Source organism: Homo sapiens, chromosome 7 (genome assembly GCF_000001405.40).
Source record: "Homo sapiens chromosome 7, GRCh38.p14 Primary Assembly".
Taxonomy (NCBI): Eukaryota; Metazoa; Chordata; class Mammalia; order Primates; family Hominidae; genus Homo; species Homo sapiens.
This window is the reverse complement of record NC_000007.14, coordinates 47,374,760-47,397,593: the sequence shown is the minus strand read 5'-3', so window position 1 is coordinate 47,397,593 and position 22,834 is coordinate 47,374,760. Positions and strand designations below refer to the sequence as shown.

Below are 22,834 nucleotides of genomic sequence, written 5' to 3'. Positions count from 1 at the left end.
TAACCCCAAAGTAACCAGCATTTTAAAAAGAGAATTAGAAGTATAGTAGGCTGCAAGTATTATGTGCGAAACAATTTTTTTCCCTAAAAAATATATTTCAAAAGAAACCAGTCCCTTTATCATCAAGGTGAATTGTCCAGATCCATCACCAAGATCCACATGCATGGGAGTTTTGTTTCCCTTTTTAATAGCTGTGGAAATAATCATGCTTTTTCTATGTTCATTGTCATAGATTTAGGCAAAAACCTTTAAATACATGGCTTGTGTGTTAAAAATCCCCTTGGTATTCCTAAAAAGACTTGAAGGGAGGAGTGTGGATCTGAGAGCCTGGAGCCTGGATTCAAATCTGTGGACTCTGAGGCTCAGAGACAGCTTACCGGGCCTCTGTGTCCTCATCAGTGAGGTGGTCTGAAGACTCGTTTTGCAGAAGTGTCCAAGCCTGGTTCACAGTGGACGAAAGATCAGTGCTTACTTATCCCTTCCCCCTCGTGGCTTTAACTATGGTTCTAGTTGTGGAAAATCCTCCACAGTCTCTGATTAGTGTTGTGGCTCCTGGCAGGAGGGTGGAGGATGGAGAGGCTTCTCTCTCCTGCTCAAGTCAGGCTGCTCACCTGTCCTTATGGTGGAGTCGGTTGGATGGAGGTGATGGGTTTCACTGGGACTAATGTTGCTGCCTGTGCTCTGTGCAGGGTCCGAACACTTGTACAACGACCACGGTGTGATTGTGGACTACAACACAACAGACCCACTGATACGCTGGGACTCGTACGAGAACCTCAGTGCAGATGGAGAAGGTGCGTGTGTTCATCTTGTGTGCAGTTATGGAGGCAAAGGGCACAGGGAAGACAGCCCACTCAAATATCTGAAGTATTTTGCAGTCTGCTAAGAAGAAAAAATTTCCCCTGTTTTCTCAGAGGTCCAGAATCACACCTTCGTGTGACACAGTTGTGAGTTTTGAGGGTCTTCGTGAGAATAAGGCATGGTGAGTTTGGGTCAGGGCTTTTTGTGAAGCTGTAACGGGTGGATGAGCTGTCAGTGAAGTTATATCCAGGAGCTCCTTGGCCTGAACTTGTGTGTATGTATAATGCCAGGGACCGTTCCCCCTTCTTCCGTCCCTTCCGTTTTGCATATGGGGATGCCAAGCGCTGGCCACAGCCAAACTAGCTACTGTTGTACGGCCCCACATGCAACAGACATCTTGTTTTAATTTCTGTTTGCTTGTTAGTCTAGTGTTCCTGATTTATGGCTGTATCATTTAAATCTCTGTTTTCGTGAAACCGTCTCACCCAAACATGTCCTCTGTTCACCTGTGTAATATGCACATTGGGTCATAGCTAGGAGCGTGAAGGAGGAAAGGAAGGAAGGGGCAGCTGTGTGCTGGAATCTCCACAAGACACAACTGGAGGCTGATTTCAAAGGAGGGGAATTGAGGCTTTTCCTAGCATGTCATGCTGATCCCTTGTCTTTTTCAACCACCGATTGAGAATCAGACTTGCTTTGGGAAAGAAATTAAAACACTTTTTGTCAGATTAGTTACATCCAGATGTAAAATAGCTAAAAGCAAGTGTTGTGGAAAGAACTGCAGTAGCGCCTCATCTTTGTGGATCGCTGAGCTTCCCATGACTCCAGGAAGGGGGTGTCTGTGGTTAGTGAGAAAGGACACCAATTGTGTGTCCCAGGGCAGCACATGGCTCCTCTCTGTTGTCCTGGGGAAAAGCTTGCTCCTTCATAGGCCTTGTGGGATGGAATTTCAACTCAAGGAATTGTTGCAACCCAAATACACCTAGACCAGAGGTGGAGACCCACAGATGGAATGTTGATGGTAAGGACATTAAAACACAGATGATATCTGGGGCTAGTGGGCAAGTTGTGGACGGGGAGAGCTTTGCTCTGGCCTGTAAAGTAAACAGAGTGTTCTTTGCTGGTGTGAATTATTCAGCACACCAGTCCTTCCAGATAACCAGCACGTTAAAAGAAATGTAGCTGAAAACTCTTGCAAAATGATACATTGTCTTTCAAAAGATCACAGTGCACACTGGAATCTTAAAGCTGTGAGAATAATTTCATAAGATTTATCAAACAACAGTTATCAAACTTTTTGATCACAGAGCTCTTTTTCCAGTAACGTCTGTTTGCATCTGCATAGCTATATTCTGTCCATCACATGGTGATGTTTTCCACTGGAGGAGAGAAGGGTGAAGCGGTGGCTGGTGAAGTGTGTAAATAATCATCGCAAGGCAAGATGGGGAAAGGGGCTAATTTGGAGAGCTGGATGGGGACTCTGAGGACAGCTGACTTAGCATCCTAAATTCCAGGCTGAGGCGAGTGGATTTTACCAGAGAGGTCCCTTGCTGCATGGGAGCCAGTGAGCAGCGCTCTGTCCTGAGGTGATGAATCAGTGGCTGTGCCGAGTCTCATGGAGAACAGGGAGGCGAGTTGTGGAAAGGTCATTCTCGTGATGCTGGGAGGTTCCTTGCTTGCCAAGGGAGGGGCGAGCCTGGAGGGTTATTGACCATGAGGGAGGCAGGGGTTCTAAAACACAGGTGGGTGTTCTCTGTGCCAATGCCGTAAGAGGGGAGCAGTGAAGTCCGGTGGACAGTGTGGAGGAGCCCCAGCTCCTGTGAGGAGCATGCTCTGGAGGGCAGCTCTGTGCTCAGTCCCTCATTGGGTGCCCCGCTCTTGTCCCCAAGCTGGCTCCCAGCTAAGCCTGTGACCTGCCTGCGGGGCAGGCTTTATCCTTCCCATGTCACAACCAGGGAACTGAAAGCTGGGCGCCTGCAGCATGTCACTCACAGGTGGTGAAGGACCTACGTTGATTTTATGTAGAAAACATATAGACAGAAAATCAGTTGAGTGTTCACCATCCTTTAGGGGTTACATGAAACTTTACGGAGAATCTGTGGAATTATGTGTGTGAGCGTGTGTGTATAGATCCATACATGTGGAGGACTTGCCGTTATCACTGGGTGAAATAGACAGAATTCAGTCTTAAAGACTCTCAGCCACCGCAGTGTCTCCTGAAGATGCAGAGGGAGATACTTCTTTACTTTGAGGCCCTCTCAGCCCATTCACGCTGCCTTGACAGATGACCATAACCTGGGTGTCTTAAACAACAAGCGTGTATTTCTCCTACTTTGAGAGGCTGGGAAGTCCAAGATCAGGCAGCCAGCCTGGCGGATTCTGGTGAGGGCTGTCATCTGGTTGCCAACTCCTGCCTTCTTGTGTCTCCACGTGGTGGTGAGGAGAGGGAGCTCCTTGGAGCCTCCTTTCTGAGGGCATCAATCCCACTTATAGGGGTTCCACCCTTATGCTCTGAGCACCGCCAAAGGTCCTGCCTCCTAATACCATCACTCTGGGGATTAGGTTTTGACATATGAATCTTAGGGGACACAAATATTCAGTCCATAGCAGATACTCAATGCGTGTTTCTTGAATGAATGATTAGAGAAGCAATTTGAACTTTAAATATCTAAGGCCCTGACATTACAAATCACAATTCCCATTGGTGTATTTTTCATGCAGCATCTTCTGAGCCAGTGGTGTGAGCAGGTGGGAGACTGCTATGGATTGTGTGGTTGGAGGTGGTGGAGCCATGCAGGTGATGGTCTGGGCATGCACTCGGGACTCTGTGTCACCGAGAGTTGGGTCTAGGGGCGAGTAGAGAAGGTCTGGCATTGCCATGCAAAAGATGGAGCCAGTTGGGAGTGGGTGCATAGGAGTTCTGGAAAGAAACTGAGAAGGACAGGGCAGAGTGGGAAGGACACCCGGGAAAGAGTGGTTCCCAGACAGGAGGGTGAGGAGTCGGATAGGGCGCCAAGGCAGCCAGGTACACTTTGCAGCCAGATTCACAGCTTTGTCATTACTGCTTCCAGGCTTCATAAAGCAGCAGAGACCCCCTTTATGGGCAGAGTCATGCCCAGACTCCTCAGGGATATAGTGGGTGAGAGTGCAGCCTCCTCCCAGTGCCTGGTTCATCCCTTGCAGCCTCGATGATATCTGAAGCCCATGAGCACCCCCAGGGAGGTGGAGTGACAGGGGAGGACTCAGAGCGAGCTCAGGACTGGTATCCGGATGCTTAGCCCAGAACCCGCCACACGGAATCTGAGTCCTCTCCCAAAACTGGATCTCAGCAACCTTCCCTTGAACCACTGCCTGAGTATTCTTGAGAATTCCAGCTCCTGAGTTACAGACAAGCACGGAGCCTTTCCTCAAATCTGCATCCCCTCCTCCTGACCCTCCATCCCCACGTGCTGTCTGGCGTGTCTGGGGTACCTGATTCAATGGAATGAGTTTTATGCTTTTCTTTCTTTCTTTTACATACATTTAAGCTTGTATCAATATTTTTTGAAGATGTAAATTATCAAAAAGAAGGAATAATTACCGCCATCTTACTGTCTAGAGATGAAGCACTCGTCATTGGTGTATTTTTGGCATGATTTCTAAATATCATGTAATTTCTCATAGTAGGATCAGCCTGTGCATTGTTTTATAGCCTGAGTTTTTCACTTAACCCACCTCCTTTAGCATCTGTGCACATCTTTAAACTTTCTTCCCATGTCCTTCTCACTGAGCACACTGGATTCCCTTAGAGGGGCTTCCAAAGTGCGTTTGATCTTATTGCTGCACTCCTGCAGGGTTTCCAAGTTCTCCCTGTGAGACACGAGGCTGCCATCACCACCTCTGCCATCAAAGTTCTGCAGAATCCCCAGGCTTGGGTCCTTTTGAGAAGGTGTTCCCCAGAAAGAGTAGTCACCTTTGGATAGAAAACTCATCCTTGTTGAATTTCCCTCCTCTCTTCCACTCTGCAGCCCTCCTCAGCCCCTCTTTGGCATGGAGGCCGGTGTGCTGCATTGGTGAGCTATTACTCCAGGCAGTCTTCGCTCTTGCCTGCGGTCAGCAGTGCCTGGCTCAGGTCCCTGGACTGGACGCCGCCTGGCGGGTGAAAGGCTGAGTCCCAGCCGCATTCCCACCAGGGCTTTAGTCTTCAGAGCTGTCCAGTGCTTTGAGGAGTTAAGGAAGGTTTGGCAGCCTCTGAAACATTCTCTTTTAGCTGGGAAAATGATGTATTGCGGCACTCTCTTTTCCACCCCTGCCCCTGCCTTTTCTATCCCCCCGCCGCCTGGTTAAAAAACCCCAAAAATGTTGACTTAAGCCGCATTTATCTCTAGCAGTGGTTGCCGTCCTGGAATGGAGCCCTCTGCAGCTGCCTTCAATCTGGGCCTGTTAGGGGAGCGCTGGCTTTGATGTGTGAGCGCAACATTCTGCTTCTATACTCAGAAAGGAGCCGGCCTTGAATCCGTTCCAATGTGGGCAAGTGATTACAAACGCCCTGTCTTCAGCACAGAGAGGAGCACATGGTCCTGGTCTCCCCGTGGGTCTGTGGTCCTGGCAGGTGGTGGCTGCGGGGGACGGCAGTCGTGTCAGTGTTCCCTGGGGTAGTTGCTGTCCCTGAGGAGAGGGAAGAATATCTCGCGGCACACAGTGTGGCTGCCTGCCGGAAGCCTCACTATGGTGTTTTAATCCTCGAGAGAGCCTGTGAGCCCATTTTAGAGATAAAGAGAGCAGATCCAAAGAGAAATCAAAAGCTAGTAACTGGCCAGGGACCCTGGTAGCCTTCTGGCGTACACTGTCGGCGATGGCAGCTGTGGCTCAGAGTGTGTCTTGTGCTCGAGACCGTGCGGGACAGGGCTCATACCCTTGACTTTCCTCTTTGAGACTTTGAGACTCAGTGAGACTGGGCTGAGTCTCACTGGGTGCCCCACCTCCTCGTCACACAAGAGGGCTGTGGGTGGGGGGATTTCTTACCCTAGCAGGATGTACCTGCTCTTTCAGGATCAGACTTGCTGTGATGGTCTAAGGGAATGCCCACAGCAGCATATGTGTCCCTGGATTTGTATTGTCACCACCAGGATTGTCCCCACAGTACTCTTCAGGGAGGCTCTGCAAAGCTCTGGACCCCCATGTTGCTGAGCCCTATGGAGAACATCTCATTTTCCTCGCTGGACATCTCTGGAGCGTCGGTGTCAGTGGCCACACTCCCCATTGGGGTGCTTTCTACTTGCTCTCATAAGCCTCATTCCCTTTCACTTTCCCAGTCTGTAAAGTGGCCTGTTGTAATTGGATGACTCTAAAGATACCTCCCTCCAACTCTGAGATTTTTGTTATCATACACACCATTTGTCATATTCACGCATCTCATATTTTCTTGGGAATTGCCATGGCTCTGATGCTGGGGTGGGCGCAGGAAGAAACACAGCAGACCCTCTAATTGGGAAGACACAGATATACATCAGTTGTTGCCACAGGGTGCACCGTGTACCATAATTGGGTACCAGGAATTAGGAAAGAATTGAAGAGAAACAACCACTTTGCCTGTACAATCCAAGGAGATTCACGAAGAGGACAGCCCTTGCAGGTAGGGAAGGCAGACAGGGTATGCCTAGCCCTGGGCATGGGGCATAGGCGAGCAGCACATATTCACGGGGTGGAAGTGTGTTCCGCCTGGCTGGTGTGTGCAGGAGGAAGTAAGAGGTGCTGTGTGTGGTGGATCGTGAGATCGGGGGAATGTCAGCTTCCTTTCCTGAGCCTGGCTTCTTTGCTGGGTGACAGTGAGGATCCCAGGTGCCACATGACTGGAGGATACAGAAAGATAACAAAGAGGCTGGAGGACGCCCTCTGGGAGGCAGAGTCTGGAGAGGAAGGAGAGTAGAGAATGGGCTTCTGGACTCCCCAGCTAAGAACTGACGGAGGCCTGGACTTGGATGTGGCTCTGGCGATGGAGAGTAGGGGCCTTTAGATATTTAGGAGGTAGATGAGTGAGACTCTATGACAGATTTAGAGGAAGGGTTGAGCAGCAGGGAAGCTTCAAGAATGTCTGAGGGTTGGAGATGAAGGCCTGCTCTGTCACTCTTGTCCTTGGTTTCTTGCCTTGACCTAGGACTTTTTGAGTGCAGCTCAAACTTACCAATCCAAGAGTGTGCAGGACGAGGGCCGTGGCATTGCCAGGCCTGGGCTCTGCCACTTTAAGTGGATACCTTGATGAACATTCCCAGAATCCACGCTTTGGGGCTCCCATGGGGCTGCTAGAGCAGGCAGACAGAGGAGATTCACATTTGTCTGCAGCCTTCGCAATAAGACACAGTCCTGAAGTGGCCATACCGCGTTCTCAGAGTACTGTTCCGAGCTCCAGGAATGGGCTACCACGAGGACATGTTGGGTCAGGAAGTGCTGGCTGCAGTGTGCAGAGCTGGCCCGGAAGTGCCAGATCAAGCTGAGACCATTCAAGTATTGCCACTTTGAAAATGGATTTGAAAACTTTCCTCCCCAGACATTGTTGGGTTTTAAGATTTGGAAATTGAAGTAAACTTTGACAACTTTAGTGGAGGAGGGGGCCGATGGCACCTGACAGATCCTTCAGTCTTGGCTCTGCTTTTTGCTGAGTGCTTGGGTATACACAGTGCCTTGTGTCTGCAGCCTCGGTCCTTGTTGGCAACGTGGAGTGCTGTCCCCCAGCATTGAGAGCTGCTCCAGGGCTCTTTGCATGGTATTCAGCCACCCTATGACATTTGACTCTGCACCAGGCAGAAGAATATTTCTTTAGGTCTTGTCCCCAAACCAGGCTTTTCTAAGCATTGCTTGCTTAGATAGCTCCAGTGAAAAGCAGCTGTCATCAGGCAACTGAAGTTGTATGAGACAGAAACGGGCCAGATGGGCGGGTAGTCCTGTTCTGAGCCTGAGATTTCCTCCCTCTGCATCTCTTGATTGTGAATTGAGGCAGCAAGCCTTCAACCCACAAACACCAAAGGACCCCCTTGCAGGCGTGATCGCAGACCAAACAGCAAATCTTCCTCAATGTCACCTGAGAGAGTGGCCTGGGGGCGCCGGCTTCCTCCTGTCTCAAGTGCGAGAGGCGTACCCTCTGTTAAAACCAGGATCAAGTCATGTGGGTGTTACTTTCAAAAAATTGATACACTCCATCAGAAGAGGAGGGTGGCATTGGGGGCAGTCAAAAGAGTTGTTCCAGTCCCTGAGCCGCCATCTCATTAAGTGTTCGTTACTTTTCGAATCCGACAGGAATCAGAGGAATTGGCTCAAGTTGTATGTTGTCCTGTACAAGTTTGCAGAAATCAGCCCACAAGAGTGGCCTTAATAGTTAAGTAGCATCACCCCCTGGGACAGAGAAAGAGGTGCTGAGAGTTGGCTGGATTTGTCCTGGGTCCTCAGGGTCCTCCCAACCCCCAGTCGGCACACAAACCTTGGGCCTCCTCTGCTTCCTGGGAGGAAGGGTACCCCCGATATCCCACTGGACGGGGTGTCCTGTGCATGCAGACGGGTCTACAAGGTGGATGGCTTGTTTGTATTTCTGTAGTTACTGTGTCTTCTCCCTCTTCTTCTTCTTCTTCTTCTTCTGCTTCTTCTGCTTCTGCTGCTTCTTCTGCTTCTTCTTCTTCTTCTTCTTCTTCTTCTTCTTCTTCTTCTTCTTCTGCTTCCGCTTCCTCTTCCTCTTCCTCTTCTTCTTCTTCTTCTTCTTCTTCTTCTTCTTCTTCTTCTTCTTCTTCTTCTTCTTCTTCTTCTTCTTCTTCTTCTTCTTCCTTCTTCTTCTTCTTCCTCTGCTGCTTCTTCTGCTTCTGCTTCTTCTGTTTCTGCTTCTCCTTCTTCTTCTCTTCTCCTCCCTCTCCCTCTCCCCTTCTTCTTCTTTCTTCTTCTTTTTCTTTTTTTTCTTTCTTTGAGAGGAAATCTCGCTCTGAGACCCAGGCTGGAGTGCAGCTGCCCAATCTTGGCTCACTGCAACCTCCACCTCCCGGGTTCAAGCAGTTGTCCCTGCCTCAGCCTCCCGAGTAGCTGGGACTACAGGTGCCTGCCACCATGCCCAGCTAATTTTTGTATTTTTAGTAGAGATGGGGTTTTCACTATGTTGGCCAGGCTAGTCTCGATCTCTTCAACTCAGGAGATCTGCCCACCTGGGCCTCCCAAAGTGCTGGGATTACAGGTGTGAGCCACCACGCCTGGCCTACTATGTCTTCTTAGAGTCCAGAGGAGCTGTGCTTCTTAATCTCTTTTCACTTTCCTCTGCTGTTTGTGATCAGTATCTCCATTGCTCTTTGGTGACCCTGCCCACTTAACCAACATGCATGCAATGATTCATGCCCCTGCCCTACATTCCTTCCCCAAAGCTGCAGATCTTTGGACTCTAATTCCCACCTATGGGGACTACAACCTTGACTGTTCTTCTGTTGGTGGATTCCCTGAGACATGAACCTGGAAGAGGGCTCCATCCCCACAGTCTCCCTGGGACCCTGAGCCACGAAGCTTCTCACACCTAGCGTGAGCAGCAGTGTGTGTGTGTGTATGTGTGTGTGTAGACCCTGGTGTAATGAGGGTTTGGTCCTTATTCTTCTTACAAGGCCCTTGCTGCCACCCCTTTCTAAGTCACATCTCAGTCAAGCCCCTATTCCCAGATGTGCTCTTATGTCCATCTCCTGGTAGGAGTAGGGGGCCTGAATGGCAGGCGATCAAACCTGCTGAGTTTCCATCTGTGTCTTCCGTGCGTAGAACCTTTCTCTCCATTGCCTGGAAGAGGCAGGGCTGCAACTTCATTGTGCCTGTCTATAAGAGCCTGCAATTGCACTTGTGCCAAGTCGGGGAAAGAGAGCACCTGCTGACTTTAAGTATTTGATATACAGAACCAAAATGTGAGAGAGAACGAGGCTGGGACTGAAGAAAAGCAGAGTCTCTTCCTCACATGAACATGCTTCTGTGTGCCCGGCCCACAGGGTCATCCTCACCATCTTCCTCAGCCCTTGGCTGGAAGAGTAGAACTTGTGCGTGCTCTGGCTCTTCTCTTTCAGCCTTGAAGGAATGTCTGGGGAGGCGTTTTAGATTATGCATGCAAGACTGTCTCATCTACTTCTTTCTTTGGAAAGTGCTACAAGATGGAGCTGCCAGGGCCTCCTAGGGGAGGGAAAGGTTGCGGATGACTTAGTGGAAAAGGGAGGTGTTCATACAAAAGGTGCAGCTGGGACAATCTCTTTGACTTGGGTCCTTTGTCCTTATGGGGACAGGGACCCTTACATGGAGGTGCACCCTCATGGCCTGCATCTCTGGCCCCATTCGGCCATCTGGGCTAGGAGACCACCATCCACATGCACGCTCCCTTTAAGCAAATGATTCTTCTGCCTTTTAGAGTGACGTTCTTGGTGCTGGCGTTGACCTTAGGAGTAACAACACTCTTGGGGTCAACAGCTTTCAAACTCTATGCCTGTGGCTCCAGGATTCCAAGTTGGTTCTTAAGGAGCAGCCCCAGTCTCTCTCCATCCACTCCTGTAAGAACCCTCCACAGCCCCAGCCCCACCTTGATCTTTTTCTGTTTTTATATTGGGTTTCTGCATAAAGATTTGTTTGAAGATCAAGTTCTGCTATTGAAAGTTGGGCACTCTGGCCCTGTACAGTTGATTCTGGGACTTTAGATAGTTAAAGTTGTGTTTAAATGTTGACAAGCAAGCTACTTGATGTTAAACATGCATTCAGTTGCATATAAATTGTCACTTACTCTCTCTGTAAGTCCAAGGACAGAGGGGATGCAGTTGTTGTATTCTGTTACTGTTATCTAAGATGCCATGGAGGGCAGGGCATGTGAGGTAGAAGGCATAGGTGTCAGAGACTAGTGGGTGTGTTCCTTACTTAAATTTTTTAACATAGCACAGATTGCAGGGATATTTTATGTAAAACATCCAGCTATTTCTTGAAAAACAGGGTTGATATAATGGCAGCTTGTGCTGTTATGTAAGAAAAGCGAGCTTTAATGGATCTTCAGACTTGCTCAGTTTATCTTGCCGATAGGAGCAATTCTGACCTACTTTGGGGATGAAAGCTGGTTTTCACAGCACTCCTTTCCCCCTGTGGACACTGTGCTGGATGGGGACGCATGCCAGGCTGAGCAAAGCTGAGACCGCCTCGGCTCGTTGCCTCAGCACAGCCATATACCTAGAGCCTGCCTGGCTGTCTGTCGGGGAGACCTGGCATGGAGGTCCATGGATCGGGGTAAGAGACAGGGTGACCACTTTGCTATGTGAGCCAGGAGTGTTATTAGAGCATGTCACAGAGAGGGAGCCAAGGTCAAGGCCTGTCGAGGGTGGACACCCAGTGACAGTTGCTCTGGAGCTGGGAGCCCAGATTTAAATCCCTAGGGCCCGAGAGACTGATGCGAAGTGCAGGGAAAGCCATTGACCCCAGGAGCTGGGAAAACAGGTTTCTGTGGACAGGAGGAGGGCGTCCCCAGCAAATGTCCTGTGTGCGCTCCGCCTGCACCTGCCTGTTGTGGATGTGGGGGGACCCCCTCCAGTTGATAGGGCCTAGGTGGAGGGTACAACTGCTCCCAGGAAGTTTTCTTCCACATAGCAAGAGCCAGAGATGTGTTTAGTGTTTCTTTATAAGTGCATAGTGATGATTTCTTAACAAGGAAAATACACCCTTTGACATAGTAGTCTTTCAGACTTCACTATGGAAAGTTGAATTAATTTAGGATTCATGGTGTTGACAGTCTATGGGAAATTATACTATGAAAATTCAATAGTATTTATTTTTGTCAGTGTGAATGTGAGCTAATTTATGACCTGGGATATATTCTCACTGAAATTAGGCCAAACGGTTAGAGCAATAGCAAGATTTGGTGTTGATTGATTGTGGGAATTCTGCCAAGATCTCAACAGCCGTCCTTTGGTGGCAGCAGTAGCCATACATTGCCCCTGAACTCGTAGCAGTGAGTCTGGGATGCTGCTGGGCCCCTGACTAGGATGAGGCAGAAGGAAAAGCGGCGGGGGAGCCACCGAGTGATGGGCACTATGGGTGCTTTCCTGAGGGTGGGAAGAGGCTGCGAGGAAACCATCTTTCTCGTAGTATTGGGAGTTCATTCTTTATTCCTGTACATGTAATATATTGCTCTCTTGTTAATCATAAATCGGAGGATTCCAATAGGTCACCTGGGGAGTGAAGGCAGAGTGTCACCTTCTGGGAAGCTCATGAAAGAAAACCAGAGGCCACGTGTGCTTGTCAGGCAGGCTCTGTAGGATCCAGGATGCAGTCTCCATCTCCTCCCTGCCTCTCTGAGCATCGGCAGTGCTGGATGCTGCAGATACAGAGCTGAATTGGATGGCACAGCTCCGTGCAGAGGCCAGGACAGGGCTGGAATGGCTAATGGTTGTTGTTGTCAGAGCTCACCCTTGCTGAGTGCTGCTCACGAGCTGCACAACCTTCCGAGCATGCAGCTTGCATTAACATATCTAATCTTTACCACACTGAGGGGTCAGAGGGCTAGTTGGTGAAGCCAAGAGTGGGGGCTTGGTCGCCGGCTGTGAATCTCCTTCTGCTGATGTGCTGAGCTCAGTTCAGGCAGGGACTGGATTGACAGAGGCAGGAGACTGAGAGCACCATGAGTGTGTCCAAAGCAGGGTGCCTGGTGCAGGAGCCAGGATGCAGAGAAGGGTAGAGAGCAGACTGGGAGTGAGTTCACTGGCTGTGGCGTCACTTGACCTGTACAAGGCAGGCGAGGTTGTCTGTTGGGAGTGGACAACAGTCTGGGGAGTGGAGGTGTTGAGAGCTGGGACAGCTTGGAGGAGCTTCCCCTGGCAACAGGTGGTTGTTGGGTGAGCAGTGTGGTGTGCCCAGTGATGTGTGGACGCCACACTGTTACGGCCTCTGTGATTTCAGAGGCATGCACATCAGCAGGGGCATGGACGTGGGCCACAGGCGAGGGAGACAGCAGGCCTTGTGGGTCTAGATGGGCTAGGAGAGGAAGCACCATGGATCTGTGTTGCCCTCGATGTCTTAAATTTGGTGCTGGAGTTAAACATACATTGGCTGTGACTCCACTGTGCTGAGGGAAGGGCTGGATACATGCAGAGAAGAGCAGGAGCCAGGGAGCTGTAGCGGCTGCTAGAGAAAGGAGAGTCCTGGCCACCACTCCTGAAGAGCTCAAGGCTTTCAAAGTTTGGTGGAAGTTGAGGGTATGTCATGAGAAATTCTAAAGTCAAACCAAAGAAAGTTATCTAAAGTCCAAAGAGTCAAGGCCAGGGCCTCAATAAAATGTTGATGGTTTCCCAGGAGAAGCCACAGAAATGCCGGTGATGAGAGTGTTTGAACCTGGACCAAGGGAGGCATGGACGTTTGGGGGATGGGCTGGGAAGTGAGGGGCAATGGCAGCCCGCAGGGCTGGAGAACGCTGTAGCCAGGGGTACCAGTTTCCAGAGAGAAATGAGTTTTGGGTGAAAGTGTTCTGAAGTGGAGTGCAGGAGGCACAGGCTGCCCCTTCCCGGCCTCTAGGCACACAGCTGCCCCTCCAGAGACCCCCTGGGACGGGCCTGTCTGCCCATGTGGGTGGGGAGGGGCCTGACATTGGAGCAGGGATCACACAGGCTCAGTGTGGTGGACAGGTAGGGATGTCAGCTCAGGAGGATGAGTCCTTGGAAAGAAAGTTGGGAGAGGAGCAAACGGTGGAGACAGTGGGGGGAGAATGGGTGGTCACGGGCTGGAGGGACCTGCATTTGTTGAAAGTTGGTGGTGTCATGTTTTCAAATCAGAACTTTCTACCAGAAGCTATCTGAATTTAGATGTCACTTTCATGTGTCTCTCCTTATGAGGAGGAACTTCACAGGAGGCCCTGCGTGTCACTTTCTGACCTGCAGTCCAGGTAATGGCCTCCTCAGAAGCCACACCCTGATCTGTCTAGGTGGACAGCTTTCTTTTGGCCTGGAACCCTGCACTAGAGGGTGCAGCATGTGATCACAGTGTCGGTTTCATTCCGGTGACCAGTGCACAGAAGAGAGTGTCTTCTCTCTCCTTGAATGTTGTGTGCCCCAGGCTCCCTTGCAGAAATCCCCTGTCTACCTGGGGTCAGAGCCTGCCTCTGTCCCCAGACGCTTTGTATAAAACCTGAGTGCATGTGCGAGCCTCGGGCTGGTTGCCGTTGCTTTCTAAATATGCCCTTGTTACCATGTGGTTTCTAGCCTGAGAATGTTCTTACTTTTTATTTGTTGAGATCAGATTCATAGCACATAAATTTACCATTCTAATCATTTTAAAGTATACGATGCATTGATTTTTAGTACGTTCACAAGGTTGTGGAACTGTCGCCATTATCTAATTCCAGAACATCTTCATCACCCCAAAAGAAGCCCTGTACTCATTAGTGGTCACTCCCAGTTCCTCCTTTCCTCAGCCCCTGGCAACCACGAAGCTACTTTCCTTCTCTCTGTTTCCCATTCCGGACATCTCACTCACTGGAGTCGTGCAATGAGTGGCCTTCTGTGATTCGCTTCTTTCACTCAGCCTGTGTTCCAGCTGCATTCCTGTTACGCTCCATCCTTTCATGGCTGTGGTGTGCCACTGTGTGGACACACCACACTCTGCCTATTCATTTGTTAGCTGGTGTGCATTTGGGCTCGTAACACTTTTTGTCTAGTATGAATAACGTTGCCTGTGAACATTCTTGTCTGTGTTTTGGCCCTAGGATATTCTTATACCTCTAATCTTTCCCACTACTTTTTGAAATTTCCACATCTTTTCTCATCCTTCTAATTGGTTTCCCATTCTGGAATTTTCTTCTGCCTTTAGGGAGTCCCAAATAGGAGTGGCACTAAACATACTGCCAACCTCCTGTCCCGCTTGCTATTTTCAGAGATATTCGGGAAACTCAACAAGTCTTTTCTTCATTAGCTGCACAGTGGTCCCTTGAACGATAATTGAACTGTGTGAGTCCACTTATATGCAGATTTTTTTCAGCCAACACACAGATTGAAAATACGGTGTATTTAGGATGAGAAATCTGTGTATATGGAGAGTCCACTTTTCCTATACTCAGGTTCCTCGAGGTCGACTGCAGGATTTGAGTATGTACAGATTTAGTATACTCACAGGGGGTGGTGGGGGACTGGGGGGTGCTGGTGTCTTGGAACCAATCCCCCGCACATACTAAGGGTGGACTGGCCAGCCTCCTGCACAGAATTACAACCCTTCAGGGTGAAAAGGCTTGGGGGCTTTCAAAACACTCTGAGCCACAGAACTGCCTTCTGGCCAAACATCAGCAAAGCTTCAAAAGACCACGTTGTTTCAAGAAAGGTTAATACTAACAGCCTGCACAGGCTCCATATAATCAAGACCCATTAGCAGGGAACCTGTAGAAAATGAGAGCGTTCTGAGCCTGCCTGCTCAGTGGCTGCCAGCTACGTAAACAAGATCTGAAGACCAGTGGGTGCCTGTTGCCATATATTCACAAAGGCTTATGGCAGCCCGTTTACAAAGCTGTCATCCACATGAAGAAAATTTGCCCTCAGCCACCGAAAAACAAAACAACAAAAACCCCAACCCCACCCAAATCAAGCCCAACCCAGAACAACATGAAAGGAAACACTCCTTTTGAACATACAACTAATCCTGCTGCCTCTTTCCATTAGAAATGGATAAAGGTACCTTGGCCGTTGCTTTTCTTGCACAGTTTTGTGATGCAGTGGTCTGATTTTAAGATTTGTATCCTGTAGGAGGCTGGGACCCCCTAGCCATATCTAGACATACAGTTAGCTACAGTTTGGAAAGACCCCGGTGCTCAGGAGAGACTCGGACATTCATTGCGTTGTATTCACTACTTCTAATCTCTTTTCGTTTGATGTGTATTCTTTAAAGCAAAGTATTTTGTGATAAATTAGTCACTGCCTTTATTGCAGTGATCACATCATTTGCAGAATGGTAACAATAATTTCGGTTCTCTTGATAGGAAGGTGGGTTAGCCAATACCCTTTAAAGAATACCAAATTTGATAGAACTTTTTGCACAATAAGTGCATTATGTCTCATCATAAAAGAGATTGTTTCTCCCAAGGGTGCGCTGAGTTTTACCTTAACCTCCTGTAAGCGACATATGCCAATGTGGCCATCTCGGGTGATTTAAAAGATTTGTTACCCTCTGCGTGCACTTATAGCCCAGGTATGTCCTGTCTCCCCTGGATGGCTGATTGGTGATTTTTAAAAGGGTTTCCATTGTGCTGTGGGAACCTGAAGGCATCAGAACGGGCTTTTGCTTGTTTGCTGTGTCATATTCTGTTCATTTAAAGAGTAAAAGTGTGTGGTTGGTATTGTGGCCCATGTTGAGCCAAAGCAAAGAGTAAGCCACTGTCTGAAGCCCACCTACGTTGAATGTAATGAGGCTGAGATGAAAAGGATCTGCTACACTGAACACAGAACGTGGAGGTCTGGGCTAACCACACAAAATATGCTGTGTGCAGTGAACATTCACGCTGTACTCTTAGCCACATCCCGCACAAAAGACAGAGAGACAGCTCCCAGGAGATGGAGCATGTGTGGCAAAGATTTTCCGCCTGGTTACTTTGAAGAAAGCAAAAGGAGGCTGAAACTGTGCTTTGTAAGCTGCATGGGTTGGTGCTGGCTCCTGGACGTCAGTTCAGAACACTCAGGAGTGAAGGCAGAAACCTGGTGAGGGACTCCCAGGAGGAGCTTCTTTCTCCACCTTTCAGCCTCTGGAGTTCAAATTTCACTCAACCTGAGTGCACCAAACCCCACCCTCTTATTTACATTGCCCTGGCCTTTTTGGCGGAATCAAAGTCCCTACATAGCCAAGGAGATCTTTTACCTTCTACACTAGTGGGAGGCCAGGTGCCTGGGAGGGAGGTGGCACGCCCCCGCCCTCCTCTGGCATGCCACTGTCCTGCTGTGAAAGCCTGTGTCAAGGAAAACTGGGCTCAGAGGTGCAGACTGAGAGAGCCGCTGGGCTGTTTTGAAGGAAGGTAAGCAGAGAGCATTTGTGTGTGTGTGTGTGTGCGCGCGCGTGCATATGTGTATGTGTGTCTGTGCCTGTGTGGTGAGTGTGTGTGTGCATGTGTGTGGCTTCTGTAATGCTACAAAGACCTGAAACTGAGCTGTGTGCCTGCTGAGATTTACCAACTTGCCAAGACTTCCAGAGGAAAAGAGCTGGTACTAGCCAGGAGGAGAGGGCGTTATGGAGTGGAATAATCAGCAGAACGGATGCTTTAACCGGGCAAGAAGGAATGTCGCTCAGGACTTGTCCAGGAATGCCTTTATTGGTTTGCAAGCTGGAGGAGTCTTAACTTACTGACTTCTTTTTGGGGAAGAGTCAGTGATGGTCTGACATGCTGTTTGCAAGCTCTCTGGCCGCCTCTGTGGCCAGCCGGCGTGGGTGGCCTCAGATAAGGCCAACAGGACCTCCTCTTTTCCTCTGGGCTTGGGCCCCTGTGTTTTCAGTTAGGAGTGCCCAAAAGGGAACTGAGCTGCCCAGTCAGAGGCCTGAGATAGGCGCCTGCTGAATGCTGAGCCTGCACCGGCGTGCTGGTGTGAGAGGTCTGCCCGGGGAGCCGCCCTGGCCTGCCCTGCTGTCAGTACGGCTGTGGGGGCACCTTGGCGGCGTCTGTGACACGCCTGCCACAGCCCCACTCGGAGCACAGTGCTCCTTTATCGCCACATTCCAGAGCCTCACCCAGGAGACCGCGGGAGCGCTTGGAATCTGGCCCAGCTCCTGAGTCGCTCCTGCTCTGCAGTGGGATGCCTTCCCTTCCCAGAGAGGCAGTGTGTGGCTGGGCAGGCGTTTCTGTGTGGAAGGTTCTGCTCTGGTTCTTGCTTTTGTTAATTTTTTTTCTGCTCTATATTTCTCTAAGAATTTACAGTCTGCCTCATTTTTAGAAAGCGTGAGCAAGCAGCTCAGCTTTACTTCAGAGGGAGGGATTTTCCAGCGCCCTCCGGCAGTCTCAGCAAGGTGTCCTGGTGCTGCCGCTGCAGCCTCTTTCCTGCTGGGCACCTCCCCTCCTGGCAGCTCAGAGGGTGATTTGGGTTTGGGGGCTTGGGAAGGAGTTAACTCTCAAGGTGAGACTGATGCACCAAGGGAGCAATGCCTTAGAATGGAGTTATTCTGCCTAAGGAGAGAAAGAGTTGTCCCTACAGAGTAGAGTTTATTACCGTCTTTTATTTTTTGTAAAAACAAAAATAAAAAAAGAGGAAAAGGGCACATTTCATCGCGTCTTGAAATATATCAAAATCATAGAGTATCTGATTTAGTAGATTAAAAGCAGTGTTCTCAAAGACCCAAGTGTAGTCCTCATTTCTTAGCTCTTGAATTTTCTGTGGAATAGAAAATGATTTAATAAAAACTCCAAAAATCATTAATTAGCAAAGAGTCAGAATTCTATTGTAATAAAATTAAAGCAGACCTTGTTTGAGTGAGAGGTTATACATGCTCTAATTATAAATGTCCACATGGAAAAAACGAGAGTGATTTTTGCATATGCTATGGGTAAGATAATACAACGCCCCTTGAGAAGGAACCTCTTGGCTCAGATATCGCTTCCTGACTGGGAAGGTCTTTCGGTGTCTGCAGCCCCTACCAGGCCTCCAGGGATCAGGTACCCTTGGGACACTGCCCGGGCTACCCGTACCTCCCCTCCTCGCAAATGTGAGAATGCCCCTTGCTTCATTGTTAACCCCATTCAACCCTGCCTTGTGCTCTGGGCCACAGCCTAGTTTTCAGCCCTCCTGGCTTGGTGATGGACTCTTCCATGCGCCGGAGCCTGAAATCCAGGCAGTCCCTTAGCACCTGTCCTCACCAGCACTGAAACCCCCACTGGCTGTTCCACATTGTGCAGCACCAGACCCATCAACTGAATGGTCTGCTGGAAAACTCACAAGTCCAGCGCCGGTGCCATGGCTCATGTGTCAGTTGACCTAGCAAATCCAGGAGAAATGTTCTCTCACTGCTGAGGGGAGGTCATGTGATGCAGTGATGGGAACCCTGGGTGTGCATGACACAATCTGCCAGAAAACCCTTAGCCCTCCCCCCATGAAACTTGGACATGCTTCGGTCCCTTGCAATCCCCCTAACCTTGTGGGTTAAGCAGAGGAGAATCCATACCCCTTCTGGGTTTGGTTTGAGCCTAATGAGACAATAGGTACGAAGTGCTTGGAAGACAGTGGTTGCCCAGTTAGCTTATTACTGCTGCTTTTGCCATCATTGCTGTCAGTCACCGAGGAAACAAACAAAGTATGGGATGGGAAAACTGTTTTACAGCTGGTAAGATCCTGAGCTGGGCAGCTTGGCCATAAAGTCGCACTGGGTGGATGGTTAGCAAAGTTGGTGCCTGGGACAATTTCAGTCATATCAAAAAATGACTTAGGGAACTTCTGAATACGTTTTTTTAAACCCATCTTTCACCATAGCTTTATATTAGAGAACAGTTCCTCAGTGTAATTCTCGAGACGGGAGGTCAGTGGACCTGCGTTCTGTGTACTCACTGATTAGATGTTCATGGAGCACTCCTCTGTCCCTCAGCTCTGCACCCAGAGGGTCCACACATGAATCACTTGTGAGTTCTGGGAATTCTTCACTTGACCAGAGAGGGGGAAAGCACAGAAAGGAGGGTTTGCCCAATGCCTGCTGTGTGCCATGCCTTTTGTGTTGAATCCCAGTGGTCCTGGGAGCTGATATCAGCAAACACCCCCTTCTCCAGGTTGCTTCTCTGCAGACAAGGACAGTGAGGCACAGAAAGGCGGAGTGATTCATCTGAAGTCACACAGCTATGATCAAGCCAGGACTCAAGCCTGGATTATGCCAGAACCTCTAGAAGGGGAGGGAAGGTGTGCACATGAATCACTCCAATGGAAATGTCAAAAGACGCTTTATGTGACAATGAGGCGCAAAGGGACTATGATCGTTATCCCAAGGAGAGAGGGTTTCCATTGTCTCATGGAATTTAGGAAGAGGAGGGAAGGCCTTTGAAGAGGGGGAGGAGGGCATGGGGGAGAAGGAGAAGGAGGGAGGGGAGGAGGGAGAAGAAGAGGAAAGGGAGGAGGAGAAGGAGGAGGAAAGGGAGGAGGGGGAAAAAGAGGAAGAGGGAAGGAAGGGAGGAGATCAAGAGGAGCCACCTCAGGTTGGGGTCTAGTCTGCTGTGAGTCTCATTTTTGTCTTGATCTCACAACGGTTGTTTTAACTGAGATGCAATTTACATGCAGTAAAATTTGCTCTGTTTAGTATATAGTAGTCTGAGTTTGACAAACATTATGCCATGACACTCCCACCACTATCAAGACGCAAATATTTCTATTGCCCAAACCATCCCTCACACCCTTTGCAGCCCCACTCTTCTCCTGGCCCCGACCACACCCATTTGTGTCCAGACACAGTGTCTCCACCCCAGAATGTCACCTATGTGGAGTCGTACAGTCGAGCCCTTTGAGTCTGGCAGTGTTCACTCGGCATAGTCCTTGAGACCCCTCCAGGAGACTGCCTGCAGATGAGCACTCGTTTTTGAAACCGAAGCCTCTCTGTCTTCAGCATTTTCCCTGGGCTGTGGTTGTCAGAGCCCACCATGGGCACTTGCAGCTGCAGACATCATTCCAATAAGCCTCCACTTATTGGGACTGTTTGGATATGGTGAATTGATTCAGCTGGACGGCCCCAAGTGAGTCATTTGAGGGTGACCTAGGGACAGGATGGTTCCTGGCTGTGTCTGGAGAAGCTACCTGTTCCCTGTGGTGGTCCAGGCACAGGCAGGACCTCTGGCATATCCATGGCTCCTGACCCCGATGGGGCTGCTGGTACCATGGGTGTGTGGGAGAACTGAAGACTCCATGCTAGGAACAGCACCCGATCCACTAACTGTGAGGATAGAAATGCACTAGCTTTAAGAAACGGAACAAAAACTGTGACCATCACTGCAGCGGCTGTGACACCACAAGGGTCTGTTCCTGATAATGAATAATTTTAGGAGTTAGGGAGGAAAGCACAAAGCACTTAATAGTCTCTGAAGAGTGAGTGAGGTGTATATGAGTTTGTGTGTGTGTGTGTGTGTGTGTGTGTGTCTTGATCTAGATAGTTGATCTGTGAAATATAAAAAGTGATTGACTAGGATTAGAATTTTATCTTTTTTTGGAGTGGAGGGAGGTTGGTTTAAATTTCAGATATTCTATTCAGTAGGCTTGTAAAAAAAATCGTTAATGTTAGTGCAGGCTCTCTCAGCCTCTGATTTCTCATCTGTAAAATGGACTTCCCGTTTCCTGCTTCACAGGATTGCTTTGGGAATTGAGTAGGATCCCTGGGGCCTAACAGTGTGCTGGGCGCATGGGAGGAGCTTGCACGGTGGCCTTGTCTTTAGGAGGTCAGCTGAGTTGTAAGAGAGGGGTGTTTCCAGAATTCTCTCTGTTTGTCAGGTGATGAAGATGCCAATTCCTGCAGCCTCACCTGGCTCACCTGAGGGTGGCTGCTTCAGCATCAGTGGATGCCTTTCTTCTCACACACTGCTCCGTCTTTCCCTTGCCTCTGTTGATCTGTCTATTCGGATGCCGTGAAATGTGCCCACCACCCTTTCCATCTCTTGTTTCTCTCTCTGTTCCCCAAGGGGGCTTGTCCATTCTCCAGCACATCATCAGGACTGGGCTGAGTATTGCTTTTAAGTCCCCGTTTATGACTAGCAATCATAGCAAGTGCTTAGTCAATTCTAACCAACTTTCATGGAGAAGAATTTTCTAGTTTCTCCTTTGAAACTAAAAAATTGCAGGGAGGATACTGTTAGTTCTTTTGAAATGAAAAAGTTACTTTTTAAGCACACCTGTCACAAAAATAGAACATGAGATTCTTAGCATCAATACCTAGAAAAAGGAAAGGTTCCACGTCGCTTCATAAATCTATCAGATTTGTCCTTCCTTTGCTTCAAACCAACTTCTGTTGGAAGCAGGGCCAGTGGACAGTTCAGTGGATTACACATCAGTGATGAATATTTTTGGTTGCTGAGTGATTGATGATGGAGGGTGCTGAAGTGTGAGATCAGCTGTCCCTTTGGCTATCTGATTGTTAGCATGCCGGGGAGCACAGTTGGGCATTGCCTAATCTGTTTTCAACCGGGATGGAAGGGATGTTTTCATATATTTTTTTGGTCTTCTCCATTTTTTGGGTGACTTTTGAAATACTTTCTGAGTGCCTCTTAACCCTCTTACCTCCTTGTGGGAAAGCCACGTTTCAGTAGCAGGGTTGGGTTGGAAAGAGAAGGATCCCCTGCAGGGAAGGTGGGTGAGGAAGTCTGTTGCTGCAAGTCCTCCAAGGAGACAAGAATGTATGCTCTGTATTTTCTTCCTTCTGGTCCTTTTCCAGGCGATAAACCTCACTGGTATGTCATGCAGTGAAAGTCATTCAGGGCTGTATTTATGTTTGTTGGATTTTTAACTAAGATCTGGCCACCAGGAAATCGTTGCCAGACAGTGGACAGCCTCCCTTGGGAGGGGAGGTCCTTGATGCTCGTTGGCTGGGTCTGGTGGCAACGCAAGGGAAAGGGGACACCGAATGGGATGATTTACCCTGGACTGAGATGTGGAAAGGTTCTCCTCCTGCATCCGCAGCTGAAGAGCTATGGCATCCCTGCAAGTTACTTCCTCCCACTCTAAGATTAGGTTCTGAATTTGCAGAATGAGGGTTGATTCAGACTTCCCCATGCTCCCTTTGAGATGGAAGCAAAATGTTAAAATATGTTATTTAATGATATAAAAAGATGGAAGGAGCAGACGAGTGGCAGGACCCCACCTTTTAGAACTCTGTCCTTACCCCACCACCTCCTCACAGCAGTGTCAGCCCTAATAGCACATCAGGTGCCAGAGACAGAGTGGAGACTTAAAGCCCTGCAGCCTCCCTCATCTGGTGGGGGCTCCTCACCCTGCCTGCTCCTAGGAGCTCATCAGGGCACCAGGAACCCCACCCACAACCCATGTCCAGGAACCACAAATGGGAGTTTAGTTGGCTATGTCATTTCTGTGGTCTTTCTACATCACTTTTCCAAACC

General features: G+C 49.2%; 1 protein-coding gene across 25 annotated transcripts in view, besides 1 other annotated feature; it reads left to right on the top strand.

Annotated features, from left to right (window-relative positions):
- TNS3 (tensin 3) overlaps positions 1-22,834 on the top strand; it is a 307,433-nt gene that overhangs the window by 184,993 nt on the left and 99,606 nt on the right. For 24 of the 25 annotated variants that reach the window (XM_047420733.1, XM_047420729.1, NM_001410878.1 and 21 more), the window contains one exon: positions 690-794. In XM_047420733.1, the coding sequence (XP_047276689.1) occupies positions 690-794 (105 nt within the window). Of the gene's footprint in view, positions 1-689; positions 795-16,443; positions 16,790-22,834 lie in introns of those variants that run through there. The other variant, XM_011515484.4, reaches the window with a different exon arrangement.
- Positions 17,125-17,988: an enhancer, noted in NCBI's record as "H3K27ac-H3K4me1 hESC enhancer chr7:47419203-47420066 (GRCh37/hg19 assembly coordinates)". NCBI's record gives its function as "activates a minimal SCP1, AML or CMV promoter by ChIP-STARR-seq in naive H9 embryonic stem cells {active_cell/tissue: H9 hESC(naive)}" and the evidence as "EXISTENCE:reporter gene assay evidence [ECO:0000049][PMID:30033119]".